General features: G+C 41.5%; 1 long non-coding RNA gene across 7 annotated transcripts in view, besides 1 other annotated feature; it reads left to right on the forward strand.

The window, feature by feature from the left end:
* The first annotated feature begins 3,651 nt into the window (after nucleotides 1–3,651).
* Nucleotides 3,652–20,101, forward strand: part of LINC02359 (long intergenic non-protein coding RNA 2359) — an 82,665-nt gene continuing 66,215 nt past the window's right edge. For 2 of the 7 annotated variants that reach the window (NR_186740.1, NR_186741.1), the window contains exon 1: nucleotides 5,473–5,875. This is a non-coding gene — a long non-coding RNA (long intergenic non-protein coding RNA 2359). Of the gene's footprint in view, nucleotides 3,797–5,472; nucleotides 5,876–10,197; nucleotides 10,324–11,723; nucleotides 11,823–13,253; nucleotides 13,442–16,552; nucleotides 16,894–20,101 lie in introns of those variants that run through there. The other 5 variants (NR_110053.2, NR_186737.1, NR_186736.1 and 2 more) reach the window with 5 other exon arrangements.
* Nucleotides 17,754–18,293: an enhancer, noted in NCBI's record as "NANOG hESC enhancer chr12:126592791-126593330 (GRCh37/hg19 assembly coordinates)". NCBI's record gives its function as "activates a minimal SCP1, AML or CMV promoter by ChIP-STARR-seq in naive H9 embryonic stem cells {active_cell/tissue: H9 hESC(naive)}" and the evidence as "EXISTENCE:reporter gene assay evidence [ECO:0000049][PMID:30033119]".

A 20,101-nucleotide genomic window follows, 5' to 3' on the forward strand; every position in this document is an offset into this window, starting at 1 on the left:
GTGGCTCAGGTGTTGAGCTCGTGGGACATCACTTCTGTGCCGCAGCAATCGCGGAGGCTCAGCCTCCCTCCTTCAGAGTTGTTCCTCCCCCTTCCATCCCCCATGAAGTTTCTCAGCTTTTGAGCACTTGCACTGTGCCAGGCAATGAGGTGAGCACTTGCATTGTGCCAGGCACTTAGGTAAGCACTTTATAATTACATTTTTACTTCTGATATTTTCTTTTTAATGGTGTTTTTAGACCCAGAACTGAAGGGAAACACCTTGCCTGAGGTAACCCAGTTGGTGGGGGGCAGACCGAGAGGAGTCCTTGTGGTCTATCCCGACCCCACGCTCCTCTTTGCTGCCAGACTGTGGGGCTGGGCAGGGGGTTCCCAGAGTCATCACCGCTTTTCAGTGGTCTGAGACAGAGTGGGATAGAGGAGGTTGGGACTGGGGTCACCTGCCTGTCTGTCCCCAGATGCCTACCCTGGCTTCCTTTGGTCTTGCATCCTCCTGAGAATCCTGAGAGGCCCAGGGCTGCACCACATGTTCAGGGCTTTTTTCTTTCCTCTGGGCCAACACGCTGCAAGGAGAATGCCTATTCCCTTCCGTATTCCTCCCCCAACCCCCTGTTTCCTACTCTTGTGAGGCTTACTCTGAGGAGAAAGACATCTTGCATGTGTCCAGCACTACTTAACATGATGCATTGGTGAGCACACAAGTGGGATGTGACAGAAGAGGGTGCTTTGTGAACAAGACCTCTTTCAGATCCTCCTGCCTCCTGTGACCACCCCCATCCCCATCCCATGCGACACTAACCCAAACCTATGTTCTCTGCAATAGAACATACCTATGTTCTCATTCTCATCTCTGGGCAGCCTGGGGTCCTTGTCCCTGGCTGAAGACTAAAGAGGACTGAAGGAATGGAGGCCAGGGCCAGAGCTGCTTCTTCCTTGGAAGCAGCATTTTTCCTGGGCCCAAGCAAGAGTCCCTGTGGCCTTGCAGGGCTCTTAAGGGAAGCATCTTCTGGGTTCCCACAAGGGCGTGACTAATTCCTCATCCTTTCTCCCCACCAACAAAAAATGGAGCAGAGAATAATTTTCAGTTCCCTGCAGTGGCCTCTAGGAGTGACTGCTGTATCCTCTCTGGGGACATCTGAGCTGGGATGGAAAGTCCTGTGACTGAACAGGAGCCCTGACCCTGGGGGTCTCACACCCCTCAGTCAAGGGGAAACACATCTCTTGGCTTGGTGGCAACCATAGCCATGGCTTGCTTCCATTCATTCATACCTTAGGTTAAACCCCATGGCTCTCTACCAGGTCCTGAGCTTCAACTTCTCTTCATATGTCCATCCTCTCTGTCTTTAGAGTCTTCTCTCTCCACCTCAACTCTTCTTTACCCTCCTTTCTCCATTTTTGTGTCTGCTCCTCTTTCCTCATCTTCCTGGTTCTCTTTCACTCTAATCTCCTTGCCATGTCACATAAGAGGACTTTGATTATCTTCCTCCATGCCTGTCCCGTCACTGAAAACACTATACCTGATCTTTTTTTCATATGATTGGTGGCTACATGTATGTGTTCTTTTGAAAAGAAGACATGTCCTTTGCTCACTCTTTATGGAGTTGTTGCTTTTTTTCTTGTACATTTGTTTAAGTTCCTTACAGATGCGAATATTAGACCTTTGTCAGATGCATAGTTTGCAAAAATTGTCTTCCATTCTGTAGGTTGTCTGTTTACTTTGTTGATAGTTTATTTTGTAGTGCAGGAGCTCTTTGAGATGCCATCACACACCTGTCAGAATGGCTATTACTAAAAAGTCAAAAAATAACAAATACTGGTGAGGTTGTGGAGAAAGAGGAACTCTTATACACTGTTGGTGGGAGTGTAAATTAGTTCCATCATTAAGGAAGACAGTGTGGCAATTCCTCAAAGACCTAAAGACAGAAATACCATTCGAGCCAGGAGTCCCATTACTGGGTATATACCCAAAGGAATATAAATCATTCTATTACGAAGACACATGCACGCATATGTTCATTGCATCACTATTCACAATAGCAGAGACATGGAATCAACCTAAATGCCCATCAGTGATAGAATGGATAAATAAAATGTGGGACATATACACCATGGAATACTATGCAGCCATAAAAAAGAGAACGAGATTGTGTCCTTTGCAGGAACATGGGTGGAGCTGGAGGCCATTATCCTGAGCAAACTAACACAGAAACAGAAAAACAAATACCGTATGCTCTCACTTATAAGTGGGAGCTAAATGATGAGAACACATGGACACATATAGGGGAACAACAGACACTGGGGCCTGTCGGAGGGTGGAGGGTGGGTAGAGGGAGAGGATCAAGAAAAATAACTAATGGGTAGTAGGCTTACTACCTGGGTGATGAAGTAATTTGTACAACAAAACCCCATGACACAAGTCCACTTATGTAACAAACCTACACATGCACCCCTTAATTTAAAATAAAAATTAAAAAAAAGAAAACACTATACCTGAAATCTGTTTCCCTTCATTCCCTTCTAGGAATGTCTAGACAGCAGAGCTAACATGCCTCTTAATTGAGATGAAGGTGCACTTTGGGAATCTTGACTCCCAGGACAGGTTTCTTTCTCCTCCTCCATCTGAATTCAAGACTCTTTACTATAATGTCATGACCATGTGTTGCGCTTTTCCTGGGTAAATATGATACCTGGCCCCAGGATACTTTGATGATAAAGATCTTGCAGTTTGGCAGGAAGAGACCCAGAGCAGAGGCCATGCATGGAGACAGACCTGGAAAACAAGACCTAGGCCCGAGGGAACCAACTCCTGGAGATCAAGATGCAACAGCTCAGACCTCTGGATAACACCAAGGGCAGATAACAACAGGAACAGAGCAGAGGCTGTGCTGGTGTCTGAGCTAAAGTAATACACCTACCTGTATCAGCGGCTTTGGCAATTTAGACTATGGTGGGCTCCACTTGGAGACTCTTAAATGAACAGCAGAACAGGACTCAGCTCAGAGAACTGAGACCTTGTGAGAGATACAGGGCAGAGAATCTAAGATCTGTAAAGCCTGTGTGCAGAGAGCCCTGCTCAACTATGAGATATCTGGTTTTCCTAAGAAGCCTCCCAGAGAAAATAGGTACTGACATTGGGCTGGGACTCTCATCCTCCCATTTGGATTATTCTTGGTGTCCCATGAATATTCAAAATAACTTTTCTGATATTGTGTATGGGAACAGGCAATTGAGCTTCCATTCAATTGAGCTTCTCAGCCACATCAACTTTCACACCTCCAATGCTATTATTAAAGCATTACTAAATGCTATAATAATTAGCATTTATCAACTGCCTAATAAATGCCACATTTAAAAAATGTATCTTAATTGTTTTAGGCTAATTCTTACAAGATCTCTATGAATTAAAGAATAATACCATCCCCATTTAGCAGATGAGAAAATGCAGCAGGGAGCTGTGGGGGGCAGCAGGGAAACCTCTGCTTTATGTAGTCATTTGAAGACCTTGGTCTTTTTGCATTATAGCCCCATAACACACAGCTGCTATGGTCACCCTGGAATCTGGAATCTTGCAGAAGATCCTACTGCCAGGCTCACATCATTTTCATTGGTCAGAACCCAATCACATGATCTCAACCTAACTGCAAGGGATGCTGGGCAATGTAGTCCAGTCATGTGGCTAGCAGGAAAATGCAGGGGGCTTGGTGAAAATTTGCTCTAGGTCCCAGACTTGGCAAATGATACAAGATTTAACTCACACAGTCCGGCTTCCAAGCCCACACTCTTAACCACTGTACTCTGTAAGTTCTGATTATTGAAAATTTCATGTTAAACAAAGTAATTTTGCTAGGATATTTCCCTAGTGACTCCTCTAGGATAGACAACATAAGGTTGGCTATCCTGTGGTGTTCACGCACGGCACATTTCCCTAAAATCCGCATCTTCCACTGTTGCTGACTCCCTCTATTCTCAGCTTATATTTTCTTCTTATTCTGTATACTCATGGTTTTGTGGATACTCCTCTTCTAACATTGTCGTTTATCTCTCACCTAGTTTGAAGACTCTCAGGTGATTTTATTGTTCCTTTCAGAGCACAGTATGGGTGCCTCATCTCAAAGATACCATAGGATGATAGCTTACCAGGAGGCAGATGAAATGGAGAAAACATAGCTTATTTCTCTCTGAAAATGACAGCCTCCCACTGAGAAGGCTGCCCTCTATCTTGGCATGCCTTGTCTCATCTTGTATTAGTCCAGCTCTGCTCCTCAGTGATGACCCTTTCAGAAACATCCCCTCTCTAGGAGGTGTGGGTCCCTCATTATGGAACTATTAGGACTTTGTGGGGCACACGTGAAACTCTGCCCCCAAAAGTTAAAGAAACCAGTAGCTCACAGAAATTCTTGAGGCTGTGGGATGGCAGATAAGAAAAGAAACAATGGTCGGGTGCGGTGGCTCACGCCTGTAATCCCAGCACTTTGGGAGGCCAAAGCGGGTGGATCACAAGGTCAGGAGATCGAGACCATCCTGGCCAACATGGTGAAACCCCATCTCTACTAAAAATACAAAAAATTAGCTGGGCGTGGTGGCAGGCGCCTGTAGTCCCAGCTACTCAGGAGGCTGAGGCAGGAGAATGGCATGAACCTGGGAGGTGAAGCTTGCAGTGAGCTGAGATCACGCCACTGCACTCCAGCCTGGGCAACAGAGTGAGACTCTGTCTCAAAATAAATAAATAAATAAACAAATAAACAAACAAACAAGAAAGAAAGAAAAGAAAAAACTTGCTGAAGCACTGAAACTTTGCTTATGAGGTAAAATGAAATCAGGTGGAACCAATATGGATGACTGGAGTTTGTACAGGACGAGCCTACTGGCATCACAGCCTGAATTTTCACTGCATGTTTCATACTAACTTCCCCTGCAATTGCATATGAGTTAGCACAAAAAGATAATTGTACATGCCGAAAGACTTTCCAGACCTCCCCTTTCCTTCCAATTACCTACTAATCTCAGAATCCACCCTGTGAACCTTTTCTAATAGAAACTAGCACAGGTTTGAGCTTCACTCCTGTCTCCTTGTGAGTCAACTTGCAGTATAAAGCTTTCCTTTTCTCAGAAACCTGTTGTCAAAGTACTGGCTTCCAGCACATTGGACAGTGAGCCCTTTTTGCAGGATAACCCACATGGGCACCGTTCTCTCTCCCCTCTATTTCTTGCTGCCTCTATTAGCCAGTCTTCTGACTGCTGTAACAACCCCCAAATGCCAGTGGTTTTCATCAATAAAGATTTATTTCTTCTTTGCATTACAATCCCAAGTGTGGCGGGTGGTGGCAAAACCTCTGCTTTATGTAGTCATTTGAAGACCCTGGTCTTTCTGCATTATGACACATAACACACAGCTGCTATGGCCACCGTGGAATCTGGAATCTGGCAGAAAGTTCTACTGCCAGGCTCACATCATTTTTATTGGCCAGAGCCCAGTCACATGACCCCAACTTAACTGCAAGGGATGCTGGGCAATATAGTCCAGTAGTGTGGCTAGCAGGAAAATTAAAGGGGTTTGGTGAATCCATTGCTCCTGCCATCACCCAGATTAAAGACCTGCCCTCTCATCCGGTAATTATTATACTCCCTTTTCTCAATTAAGCATCTTCATCCATGGATTGTTCATTTTATGGGTAGATATGACTCCTTAGAGTAAGGACCATGGCCTGTGAGCCAACTCCAAGCAGCTGCCTGTTTTTCTTATGTCCAGCAGTCAGGGATTGAGTGGGCAAGCACTGTGGGCTGCAGACACCAAGCTCCACCATGATTCCCCCTCCACTCTCAGAGGCTCCATCCAGCTGGCAGGCTCACAGCACTGCAGCCCAGCATCTGAAGTGGTGAGTATCATGGAAATAGCAGATGGGGTGGAGAAAGCAGGAGTTTCCTTTCTTGTACTTATGTTATATTCTCAGTTTTGCCTCTTCCTCCACAAAGTCTAAAATATGCACTATCTGGTCTTTTATGGGAAAGTGTTTCTGCACCTCTGTCCTGCGGAGACAATTCCCACCTTTGGAAATTGGAAACTCTTACCTTTATTTTGTTGACCAGTTTCCCACCTTGAAGTTTGTCCTGGGGTAAAGTGTGGGAATGTCAGAGGCTTCTGCAGAGATCCTTAGTCCACTTTTTTTTTTTTTTTGAGACGGAGTCTCGCTCTGTCACCCGGGCTGGAGTGCACTGGCACGATCTCGGCTCACTGCAAACTCTGCCTCCCGGGTTCACGCCAGTCTCCTGCCTCAGCCTCCCGAGTAGCTGGGACTACAGGCGCCCGCCACAATGCCCGGCTAATTCTTTTTTTTTGTTTTTTGTTTTGTATTTTTAGTAGAGACGGGGTTTCACCCTGTTAGCCAGGATGGTCTCAATCTCCTGACCTCGTGATCCACCTGCCTCGGCCTCCCAAAGTGCTGGGATTACAGGTGTGAGCCACTGCGCCCGACCCCTAGTCCGCTTTTACTGACAAATCAAATGAATACTTTCAGTCCTGTTTGGGCACGGGTGGTAACTGCCTGACTGAAACTAGACTTCCATTAATCCAGGCTCTCTGGGACAAAAAAAAATCATATAATTGATGCAATTAATTTTAATTTCATCACACGCACATACAGACATCTCATTACCAGAATAAATAATATTCATTCAAAGCATTCAGGAGTAGAAAAGGAGCAACACCCACAGCAAAATATACATGGTTTAATTTAAATTTACATAAAGACTAATTAGTTTCTCACATTTCTTAATGGTTGGAACAAAAAGAGGGAAGAAGGGGCAAAAATTAATTTCTTCAGTTAATGTGCGAATAGTTGGTGTTTCATTTCAGAATGACTTGTACAAATTTGGGGGATGGCGAGAAATGGTAACATTTAAAAAATTGAGAAGGGAACCTTATCTTCATCCACACATTTGGAAATGCAAACTCCAGTTACTATTCTCATAATTATCACCAATATTTAGTGTTTATCAGATCCCAGTGATGGGACAGGCAAAAGAAAGAAGTTGCTCTTAGAATAGTAACTACCATGAAGTTTGGTATTTTGTTGAGCCAAGTGAGTCTGAAGATATATATACCTAGTTTCCCACTAGAAACTATATGTATATATATATATATATTTTCCAACCTGCAACAGGAAGGCTGAGTTGAAGGGCCTTTTGCAAATCAGATCAGGATAGAATCAACCCCAGTGTATGGTTGTTAGTTCGTTTTTCTCCCTCTCTCCTTTCTGTCCTTGTTTTCTTTTCTTTTTTCTTTTAAAACAATTGAAAACACAGGTAGCCATGGGTTTGGTTGATCCTACTCCTTAGTTTATGGTCCTATCACGATTGTTGCTGCCAGGCCCTCTCATTTTTTCCCCTCTCTCATCTACCATTACCCCTTCCTTGTGGAGGTGCCCATGTGCTTGACGTATGCTCTTGTGTGGTATCTTTGAATCTCTGCATGGTGTATAATTACAGGTTGTGTATGCATGTGTTTTAAATTCACAAATATTTCACTGCAGTCTAGATCTATATTCCCCTTAGTATTATATTTTGAAGATCCTCTGTGCTTTTCTTGGCAGCTCTGGTTTATTGCTCCTGTGGTTTCCATGAATGAGCTTCTGTTTCCTGCTCCTCTCTCTTTCCACCCACCCTCCCAGAGTGGTCCATGTCCCAGTAGCAGCTCATTCCACTTTGTTAGTATGAGTTGTTGCCTTGAAGGGTGGCTTCAGTGCATAGAGAAGACTATCTGTGGCTCCTTGCCTTTTAAATTACTAATCAAAATATTCAAGTAAATAAAATGCCAAACTTAAGATTTTCCAAAAGTCATTATGTTCAACTTACAAGTCTTACTATTTTATTTGCAAATCTATTTGAACATTTATAAGATAATTTTGAAAGCTTTAACTAAATTTCTTTAAATATTTTAAACTGTATTTGTAAATTGAATATATCCACTATCTTGTTAAGCAATTCATATGCTATTTAACAAGCAAAACTATCTTAAGTATTTAAACAAGCCCAGAAATATAATAAATAAATGTTATTTTTACATTCTATTATTGTTTTTATATTTAGATTAATTTCTTAAACTTTTCAACTTAAAGACAAAAGTCAAAAATTGATTTCTAAATTGCCTTTTTACTGGAAAAGAAAGATGAATCTGTAACCTAATAACATAAATTGTCTTAACAATTACAAATTTTTTAAGTACAAAAAAATTCCCCAATTACTCCTTACCTTAGCAAATAAATAAAATATACAGATTTGATATAATTCATCATCGGTTTTGTTGATTCTAAATTTTCCTGAGCTTAAAGAGATATTAAGGAAATCACTTTAATATTTCCAGAAAATTGGAATTACTATCCTAGGCAAACTGGAATTTATTCTTCAAAATTGTTGAAGTTATCTCCTCAGTGGGATTCAATTAGCTAAAGATGAGAGATTTTCAGCTGGGAGCAGCTCTGGAGCAGCAGATACACTGGGTAATTTTTCTCACTCCATGGGCTGCCTTGTTTGGCCTTTTCAAGTGTCTTATTTGCCCACGTTTCAAAGCGCAATGACCTTACAGCCCAACACCTTGGATTCCAGTCCCACGTTGCCCAGTTCTGATTGGAGTCAGACTTCCTGCTCAGTTGCTTTAGCCCTTGGTGAGACTGACGTATCAGCTACTGATTTTGTTCTGCACATTTTCCATATTCTTCCTTCCTGGCAGGGCCACTTCCAGACATTATGAGATACACACACATTGACATTCTGCACACTTCATGTGTTTCTGTCTGGCTCTTTCATTTTAGGGACTAATACCGTCAAGGACACACACCTTCCAGTATTCCTGCCTCAACGCTCAATCAATTGAATTGGCTCTGCTGAGGTCACCCTACTCCACTTTTACTGACAGATCAAATAAATATTTTCAGTCCTGTTTGGGCACTGTTGATAATTGCCTGATAGAAACTGGACTTCTATTAATCCAGGCTCTCTGGGACAAAAAAATCATACAATCGATGCAATTAATTTTTATTTCATTGCACGCACATACAGCCATATCATTACCAGAATAAAAACCAGTCATTCAGTGCACTCAGGAGTAGAAAAGGAGAAACACTGACAACAAAATTTACGTGGTTTTGTTTAAATTACATAAAGACTGAGAAAAAACTTTTAGGCCTTTGAACATTCAGTACCAAATTCAGTTCCACATTCTTTAAATTTCCTTAGAGAAATTAAATGACATTTTAAAATGGCTGTTCTTGTCTTATTACTTAATAAATCCTAAATAATAGAACACATAAAATGTCAGTTATTATAAAACATTACTATAGTTCAATTCCAACATATTCTAAAGCATCATACAATTGATACCATTAATTTTGTCACACATACATATGTCCATGTGATTAACAGAATAAGTAAAATTCTCTCGCCCTCTCTCACACACACACACACACACACACTCAGAGAGAGACACACACAAATGCCACACACTTATTCCAGTAAAAAGATCTTATCTCCCTTTTGAATCCTTTTTTTCTTTGAATATAATTAACTCACCTCCTTTCATTAACTCAACTTATTTCAATAATCCATTGCTGTGAGTTTTGTTTTTAAAGCTTTGAACAACTGGCCTTATAAAAGCCTTTTATTAAATTTCTCTGCCCCTTTAGCATTCCTTTTGATATTTAAAATGTATTCTTGCTTTCCAGCAACATCAGCAAGTTGCTGCCACCTTCTGAATTTATTTTTGCCCCAAGACTTGGAACCAGCCAGTTTCCAATGAGTCCTGGATTCTTCCAGCTGAGTTAGTTTTAGAGACCAGGATCTCGGGATCCTGGTTGTCCAATGGGTTGTTATTATTCTTTGGCAACGTTTAGATATTGATTTTGGTTAAAGGTTGACCTTGATAATTCAGATTTAAGGTAGTAGATTTATACCCAACTCTTCTTTATTTCTTGTGGTTTTCTCAGCCACCAGGCATCTCTCTGACTTCAGTTGCTATCCTCTTACTCCTGCATGGTTCCCTGGCCTCTGCCTGCCCTCTGCATGAGCCTGTTTCCTGAGGGCTGGTTTGTTTTTTGGTTGATTAGTTGGTTGGCTGTTTTTTTTCTCAGCCAACTGGTCTTTTCAATCCACACACTCTCCTTTGATATCTCACCCATTTTTATAATTTTTTGTTTGTTTGTTCCAGGTACTGTCCCTAGGCTGATGACTGTCACATTTTTAGTGGGGCCAAAACTTTCCTCCAAGATTCAGATGTGTGTCACCAACTAGAGAGCAGGCTTGGAATTTAAAAATAAAGTTTTCAGTAAGTTGAGATGTTTTGCTTCGCATAGACAAATTATCACTTTGACAGAAATATTTTGCTTACTCAAACCTTTGTATTGCTAGAAAAAGAGATTTTTAAAAAATCCCAGTAAAGTCAAGAAGAAAGAAAAAAAGGAAGGAAGGAGGGAAGGAAGGAAGGAAGGAAGGAAGGAAGGAAGGAAGGAAAGAAGGAAGGAAGCGTTTAGTAGGATGACCCGCTAAAACACCATTTCAATGCCCTTTCCAATGAGAAAAGTTGATGCTGAAATTGTAATATTTGGTTACAGAGGAAGCCACAGATCCAAATTCAAACTTAATGATAAAGTGTTTTTTGGGCAAACTACTTAAACTCTCTAATCTTCAGTTTTCTTTCCTATAAAGTGATGATGCTAACATATGTGAAGTTATAAAACAAATATGAATAAACCTAACAAAACACCTGGCCCTTAGAAAGCATGCAACCCATCTTTGTTAAGGTAATCAGGGAATGAATTCATTGTTGACATACACCCAGGAAGTGGTGGTTATTGGACTAGAAGACCCTCTTTATAACTGGATGTTGCTCTGATGAGTTTAAAGCCTTAAATGGCCATTGAGAAAGATTGGTGATGAGATGTAATTACATGTGAATGGCATTTTTGATAGTCCAAAATGTAAAGGCTGCATTACTTATGATTTGCTCAAAACAGTATATTTAATCAGTGTACTTTAGCCCCTAAAATATTATAAATGCAAAAATATTTCTTTTATGTGTGCTGACAAGGCTAAATATTAGAAAAATGTTTTTTAAAATCAGATTTTACTCACACAATTAGTTTTTATTTTTATTTTTCATGATCACATAAATAATAGTATGGGTACTACTAGGTGATTAAAATTAAAACTAGAATATCTCTGTAATTAGACCCATTGTTCTGCCTTCCACTGCTTTCCAGAGCTTTAAAGGGTACAGTTCTAGGAAAAATAGTAGGAAGAGCTAATTTTTCCAGTGAGTATTGAATATACGAAAACACATTGTCTTTAAAGTTTGTACTGCTAAGGTTTGAATTTAGCAAAATAGGGATTTAGATAAATGAATGAGGATATGCAAGGAAATGTCCTTAAGTGCATTTCAGAAAACATTTAAGAAGTTTGTTTCAAGAATGTTCTACTGGCGAGTCCTCAGCTTCTTGCTGTGACTGCAGTCTAAGGCTGTGCTAGACACTGTCAACATGTCGAGATCCATGGAACATGTGATATTCATGAAATAATAGAAATGAAGGTCAGATTTAAACTTCAATCAATAGCCAGTATTGATCCTCATGGATATTTCTGAGAAGAGAAAATTTCTACTTTCTCTATGAGGGTAGTAAAAGGTCACCTTTTTCTGAATGAGAAAAAATAAATTCCCAGTGGGCTTTGTATTTTCAGTGGAGGGGCTTCTATATGCCCCTTTCTGCTTGCTTTGACTTTGGCCATGTGGAAGAGAGATGAGGCAGCACTTCCAGGGGATCCTTCAATCAACCTATGGTAATGTCACAGCTAAACATGAAGCATTGAACCAGGGAGGGGTCCCCCAAAAGCTCAGAGAGTAACAGATGATATAAACACCTGTGCCTCTGGGGGAAAGGTAAGGCAGGAGAATGTGAGCAGAGATTCTGGGTAGTACACCCCTGAGAGGCTTTCAATATTAAAACAAATAAATAACAGAAAGGTTAAAATATGTATTTTCTACCTTTAAAACCATAATAGAAAATGAAATTGAGAATTAGTAAAAAAAAGTACCAAACCTGACAAGATTTTATTTTCATTGCTTTTCCCTTTTTGGAAAGCTTTCTCTGAACATAATATTGAACTTAAGGCTTAGCACTGTTAAGTTCATTTTTTTAAAATGATAATTCTATCACCTAAATTATTGAAAAGTAGAAAGACCTGGGAACAAAACTACATATAATGAGCACAAAATCTGGAGTCTGAGGGTCTCCCGTGTTGATTTAAGATTTGTTTCATAAAGAGTTGTTTAATGAGGCTAATCCCTCACCAGGGTCTTGGGCAGATTAAATAAGTTACCTGTGATGGAGTAAACATGGATACATCTCAGCTAATATTGCTATTATTGACACTGAGAAAAATGCTAACGCTGGGGGCAGATGGCTGTTGATTCTGGCTCTGCCACTAAGGCTTTGTCACCAGTTATAGTACAGTGTCGTGTCGTTTCCTCTTCTCCCAGGAATGAGCCATCCATTGCTGGGTTAAACTCCAAGAGTAAGTATAGATAAAACCAAGCTAATCTGTTGTTGTATAACTACAAAATTAAATGAATTAAAGAGAAGCTCAAGCAACATAGGTAAACTTATCTTTTTTTATTTCTTTTTGAGATGGAGTCTCATTCTGTTGCCTAGGCTGGAGTACAGTGGTGTGATCTCAGCTCACTGCAACCTCTGCCTCTGGGTTCAAGCAATTCTGTGCTTCAGCCTGCCGAGTAGCTGGGATTACAGGCACCCTTCACCATGCCCGGCTAATTTTTTTTTGTATTTTTAGTAGACACGAGGTTTCACCATCTTGCCCAGGCTGTGTAAACTTATCTTACTCTTCCCCAGTATCTGTCTATGCTCCTGGGATCTCAAAACCTAGACTAAGTTTAGTCTAAATAAACATGCCTTCTCTCTTGACTGGTGTACACAGAGCCTCTTGTACAGTTGTTCCATGCAGAGTTCATAAGTGAATAACTTAAATATCTTTAATAAAAGTACTAGCTGATTTTTATTGAGCACTTAGCATATGTCAGACACTGTTCTGCTATTGAGCAAAGATTGTCTCATTGCATTAGCACAAGAATTTTGGAGAGTGTAACAAAGTAGACTCTATTCAGTCTATATATGGTAGCTACTGAGCATACTAATACATAATAAATTAACAAGGGGTTATGAAGCATTACCATATGCACTTTGTCGTTTACAGATTCTTAATACTTGAATTAAAAGGAGAATGGTCATTAAACAGAAACTGCTGCTAAAAGTGACAAGCAACTTAGCAATACACATTAGGAGCAAAGATTATAATTTATGCAGCATATTTTCATATACAGGCAAATCTGAGATAGAAGGAAAAACAAATGGCTTGGAATAAAACAAAATCCTTAAAATGTGTAAGTCTCTGACCTCAGATAGAACTTCAGTATGAACCAGCTGCAGAACAGCATCTTGGGGCCAGTGGGTTGGGGAGGTTTACTGTTGATTTGCTATTATTCTGTGAGTTGGGTTGTATTCACACTTGTGCCTCATAAGGCAGGAACTGACTCACTAAAATAAAATAAAATAAAAAATAAGCCAATTCGTGTCCTTGTAAAATGAGAGTAAGCATACCCAATAAGCAACACTGCCCTCATGGTATTTTATGGCAACTAAGTATATATTAAGTAGGTTAAATCTTCAGGCAACCCACAGGGAGCAGTGCTCTTGTTGGGGAGGAAAGTGAAATGACATACTTAGTGAAGGTGTGACCCTACAACCTGCTACTGTCAGTGAGACCCCAGTCAGTGTGGACCACAAACCACCTAGAGACATCTTGCCTGCTGGGAGGCCTATCAACTGGTGGTCACGGCTGCCTCTTTACCTACTTTTCCATGAATCCAGAGGCCATAAATGATTCTGGCACACTCCCTAGCTCCTTGTGTTATTTCTGGAAAGCCACCTTTGCACCTGCCTCTCATGACTGACGTCCTCCACCCAGGCAGCCTCAGTCTTCTGCTTGGGCCTTGGGTCTGCTAGGATCTGAGTGGCAACCTCTTGACATGCCCCAAATTTCATTATTAGTAATCTTTTAGATTAAGCGTTGCCTCCTCTAGTCCTCTTTTTCTACTTCTCAGAAGCAGTAAGAAGATTGCTTCTTATGTAGTAGGATCTGTTGACCACTCATTATTTCTAGAAAACTTAACCTTTTCACAAGGGTTCCAATACCTCTTTGAACCTCCTCTTCAGGCTGAGAACAGCTGAGAGCCAAACTTCCTTCAAGGAATTTCCACAGACGAAACATCCTCCGTTTTATGTGGGAAATTGGGACAATAAACACCCATGGGAGAGCATGCTGCAGGCTGGCCTGACATTGAGGATAACAGCTCCATTAAAATCCATCTCTTATGTCTTACATTATGGCTTTCTGAGGGGTTAAATGACTTGAGGTCCTCTAAAGACTTTCTTTATTCAGTGGTGTTTCTTCTCCCTCCTGGCAATGAAATTCTAACAGTGACATCCTATCCACCATCCATAGGAATTACAGATTTGCCTCTTACCTGAGCACAGACACCACTGCTGAAAGAGTTTAAGTGGGTGAAATGGGAAAATACCAATACAAAGCCATAAAGCAATGGCTGAAATACTAGTGGTTGATATACTCTCCTCAAAGGGCAGAGTATGGTTATGACACTAGGAGACCTTAAATGCGTAATTATGTCTCTAATCTTAGGCTTCCTAGTGTCAACTATCAGCCACCCCAGAAATACCATCAGACAAACATGTTGATGAAGTAGAGCTGAGTTTTTTATAATTGTGGCAGCAAGAAAACCTCACCTTGATTGAGTATTGGTAATCTCTCAAAAAGGGAATGGTAAGGGAAGATATGTGTCAGGTCCTGGGTCTTGTGGTACAACAAATGACTGGTGATCTGCGACCTTGGAGGAAAACACTGTCTGTGTTGAATTTATTGAGCCATTTTGACCATGCCTAATTTTCATGCTCGTGCGGTCTTTAGAAGCACACAGCAGCATAAGGTGTGACCTCTCTGATTTTCCACTTTGTCCAGGAAGCTCCTTCTGTCAATTTTTTTCACAAGGAATAAAAGCATTTTTAGGCTGGGCACAGTGGCTCATGCCTGTAATTCCAGCACTTTGGGAGGCCAAGGTGTGTGGGTCACCTGAGGTCAGGACTTAAAGACCAGCCTGAACAACATGGTGAAACCCAGTCTCTACTAAAATACAAAAATTAGCCAGGCATGGTGGCTCATGCCTGTAATCCCAGCTACTCAGGAGGCTGAGGCAAGAGAATTGCTTGAACCTGGGAGGTGGAGGTTGCAGTGAGCTGAGATCGCACTACTGCACTCCAGCCTGGGCAATGAGCGAAACTCTGTCTCACACAGACAAAAACAAAAAACAAAAAACAAAACCGTGTCTTTAATCTCATACCACCAATGTAACGTTAGGGTCTCCTTGTGTTATTTATCCTTCTTGTGCCCTAGAAGAGCTGTTTTTGTTTTCACAGCAGAAGACTAGAAAGGGAAATGCTTAAAGATCTTGTTAGTAGTGGGACTTCAGGCATCTTAAGAGAAGACTGCTCAGCTCACATACATACAAGACCTAAGCCTCAAGCCAAGGCTGCAGGATGGAGGACACCAATCACGGGGCCATCTGCAAAAGGTGGCTTTGGTGGATTAATTGATTGGAAGTGGCTCTTTCCATTCCCCTGTTCCTTATTTCTCTTTCTCCCACAGACGTGTGAAAGAAATATATTTCCCCATAAGATTTCCTCAAGCAGAGAACTGGCTGTCTCCAATTTCTCAGGGGCATGTTCTTAGCACTTACACAGAAGCATGACTCTTTTCTATTGGAAAATTCACAGGGCCATATACAAGTAAAACAATTTTGAATTCAAAAAAGCCCCTTAGAATGAATCTTAGACGCATAAACAAACCTGTTTTGTTTGTTTTACTTGTATATGGGCCTTTTTTTGTATATGTTTGTTGTTTACAACAAACAGATCTTCAGAATAATATAAACTTTGGATTCTGATGGCCGTCTACCCAAAAAAGTGGGGGCTGTAGGATGCAGCATTGTATGCAGTGTCAGAGGCTAAGTTGATAGATTCAGAATCAGAAGTTTTCTTTTCTGCTCCTTATGGCTACCAGCTGTTCATAGAAGAGCCCCAGCTGAGAATCAGGTCATCTTTAGGGCTCTCGACACGAGTGGAAAGGAAGGTGGTGAAGGCAGGGACTGACATTTTTGCTTGTCCACCCATGTAGGAATTTTCTTGCTGATAGAATCCTGATGTGACTGCAGTGCAACATACCCACCCACAGTACATAGATTTTGATTGGCCACAGCCCACTCCCAGTACATAGATTGTGATTGGCCACAGCCCAGCCACAGTACATAGATTGTGATTGGCCACAGCCCACGCACAGAACATAGATTGTGATTGGCCACAGATGAAAATCATGGCCATCAAGATCCCCTTTATCAGTCACTGGTTTTCTTGGCTTCTCTTCAGCAAAACGGGGAGTGTCTGCTGGGGAAATCTCTAAGATGAAAGCCACTTTGTCACCTTCTTCCTTCCTGCTTGGGACACACATGTAATGCTTGGCACTGCTCCCCCTATCTTGTCACCATGAGATGACAGCCAAGAGGAGAAAAAGCCAAAACAGAGAGGATGACAGTGAAGAAAGAGGAAAAGTGGTTAAACCTCACATGACATCATGGAAACCTGAACAAAGGCACAGAACCACAGATTTCCCAATTCTTGCGAAGGAAGCAATTCATGTTCCTTCTGGGTGAAGCTGCTGCTGGTTGGGTATTTATCCTTCTAGAGCTGAAGCATCCTGAGTAATGCAGGTACTATTTTACCTTCATCTTATTTTAACCATGCAAGTAATATTTAATAATTGGCCAAAACATAAAAAGGATAAAAAGAAAACCCCAATCAACTATAATCTCATAATGTTTAAGTATTGCATCGTTTCTATTCTGATGGTTCACAATTCATGTTTTATTAATCCTCTTCTCCATGACAAAGCAGGAAATATGCTTAGTCTCTGGCCTATCTCCTCAATTCCTCTCCTCTCTGAATTCTCCAACTCCAAAATTAGAAAGCACATCACCTTAAAACAAACCCAACGGCCTAACTTTTAAAATCCTCGTCTGATGGATGTTACCCAGCATGGTGCTACGTGGGGGTCTTCCCACAGACCCTGACCCAACGACGGATTAATGAAGTACACTGACACACAGATATTTTGTTTTGCCAGTCCGGCTGAGTGTCTGAGCCGCTTACAGACTCCAAGCAGAGTGCTGTAAACAGTTGCGACCGCGGCCTCGACTTGCAAGGGAGACCCGCATTTATTCAATAAAGATTAATTGACAAAGGCTTGAGTCAACACCACTAGAGGGTAATTGACATTGTGGACTTCCAGAGTAGAAAGCAATTAAGCACCCACAGTAGATCAAAGGTTAGTCTTAGGACCACACGAGTAAACAAGCTACATAGATAACTTCCCCATATTCCTTTGTTACTACTCTAATTTATTTAACTAAAGGTAAAGTGACCAGGCCAACTGCAGCCAGATCTATTACCAAAGTTATGCAAACTCTCAGGCCTTCCAAGAGGGTTTGTGGCTATTATAACCAATACTTTTCCCACCAGCCTGACTGAACTCCTACAGTGCTAATGTTCCGGTAGCATCCAGCACCCAGAGGCCATGCAGTAGCTGTTTGCAGATTGATTAAGTAGCACATTGGATTGTCAGTTGTTTCTAAGAGTAAGGCTGGAGTTTGCTTACACTTACAGAAAGTCACTTCTTTATCTCGAGTTGCTAGCACAATCTCTTTAGAGGGTCGGCATGCTGAAAGGACCACAGTTTAATAGCCAGATAATCCAGTCACACTGACAGGCAAACCTTCAGAAAGACAAAAATCTCCTGGCGCTAGGAGTTAGCTCTGAATAGCAATTAATGCCCATGCAGGAGGCTTTTCAGAGACCTGTGAACTATACAAAGGAATGAGGCTCTGTGCTGATAAGAGGGTGCTTTCTTGTCAATACCACTGATAATCAGGTGGCCTTGCCAGAAAGTTGAGATATACACTGATGTAATTGGGAATATTTGATTTTTAAAAAACATATAAACAAACACAGAAGAATTAAAAATGAATTTTAAAGAATTGCCTTTGAGATGCTTCAAGATGCTTTTGATGACAATCAAACTCAAAATATGTTACTACCAAAAGACATCCAATCCTTTTAATATAAATTCACCAATCTATATGATCAAGCCACATCCTATGACCTCATTTATTCTAATTACTTCCTTAGAAGCATCATCTCAAAATACAGCCACGGGGGGAGGGTGGAGGTTAAGGCTTCGACATATGAATTGTGGGGAAATGCAACAGGTTGCAGATAACATTGAATCATCAGAAATCTTGTTGTGACTAAGCATTGATGAAAACCAAATCCTTAATTGATAGTTTTATACCTCTGATGATTGGAGGGATAATTATAGACAAATTTCTCCCTCCATTCATTTCAAAACTTGTTTCTTCTGCACTATCCACATCAGGCTCACTTCTAGAACAAGCTCATATTAGGAAATAAACCCTGACCCAGCACCTTTGAGTGGGTTGACACGGTGGGGAAGAATTACTCCTGGAAGTTCTTCCTACAGCAAGACAGCTACCATAACTATACTGAGAATTGAGTTCGGCCATGCAAACACATCCCACTAAACCCAGACAAACGCACACACAACTCAAAGAACCCTTAGCCACATGGCAAGCATGCCTGCAGCCCCTGGACCATCATGCAACTTGGGATGCATGACAGAGGAGAGATTATTAGGTTGGTGCAAAAGTCACTGGCCAGGCGCAGTGGCTCACGCCTGTAATCCCAGCACTTTGGGAGGCCGAGGCGGGCAGATCACGAGGTCAGGAGATCGAGACCATCCTGGTTAACACAGAGAAACCCCGTCTCTACTAAAAATACAAAAAATTAGCCAGGTGTGATGGCGGGCACCTGTAGTCCCAGCTACTCAGAAGAATGGCATGATCCTGGGAGGCAGAGCTTGCAGTGAGCTGAGATCACGCCACTGCACTTGAGCCTGGGTGACAGAGCGAGACTCCATCTCAAAACAAAACAAAACAAAGCAAACAAACAAAAAAAAGTCATTAAGATTTTTGCCATTGAACGTAATTACAAAAACCACAATGACTTTTGCATCAACCTCATTGAACAAAGGTCTTGATGGACTGTGATAATTAAAGCATCTTTTGCATGTCACAGTGTGAACACATGACCAACACTTCTTCCTGAGGACTGAGAGATAGATCTAAGCCAGTGAAGGCTTCTGCAGCTCATTAGTTTTATGGAAAATCTGCTTCTTTCCAGGACTGGGGACCTCTGGAAGCTGCACACAGAGCCCTTCCTTCTCCCTCTCTTCCTCCAGAGGTCCTGCCGAGATCAGGTTGGAGGTCCTCTTTGTTCTTATGCCCATTCCTCCCCCAGGCACTTGGAGGAGGGCACTGTTTTTGAGTGTGCAAGTCTTTCTCTGTTACTGTTGGTAAGCAAAAGATCTTACCAAAGCTTTACAACCATATGCCATTTATCTCCTCAAAAACCCTACTTAGGTTTTGAGAAAAGCATGTTAGCATAGTGAGGCATCGTAGTGTTGTAAAACCCTACAGTGGAGTGACACAGAGCCTGGACTTCGGAGCCAGACTTCTTTGTTCAAACTCTGCCTCTACCCCTTACTACCTGTACACACCTGGGCAACTTCGTTAACCTCTCTGTGCCTCATTTTCCCATTCTGTAGCATAGGGACGATGTAGAACTGCTGTAAGAGTTAAATGAGTTAAGAACAAAGAACTTGGAATAACACCCAGCACATGCTAACTGTGTACGTGGTAGCTATCATTGTCTCCTAAGAACCAGCCCTTTATAAATTAAGTGCCAAAAATTGATAAGGTATTTCTGTTTTCCACTCTTCCTCGTACCTTCCATGATGCAATGAACAGGGATCTGACTCTTTCGGGCAGGGAGGGGGTGGAAAAA

Source organism: Homo sapiens, chromosome 12 (genome assembly GCF_000001405.40).
Source record: "Homo sapiens chromosome 12, GRCh38.p14 Primary Assembly".
Classification (NCBI taxonomy): Eukaryota; Metazoa; Chordata; class Mammalia; order Primates; family Hominidae; genus Homo; species Homo sapiens.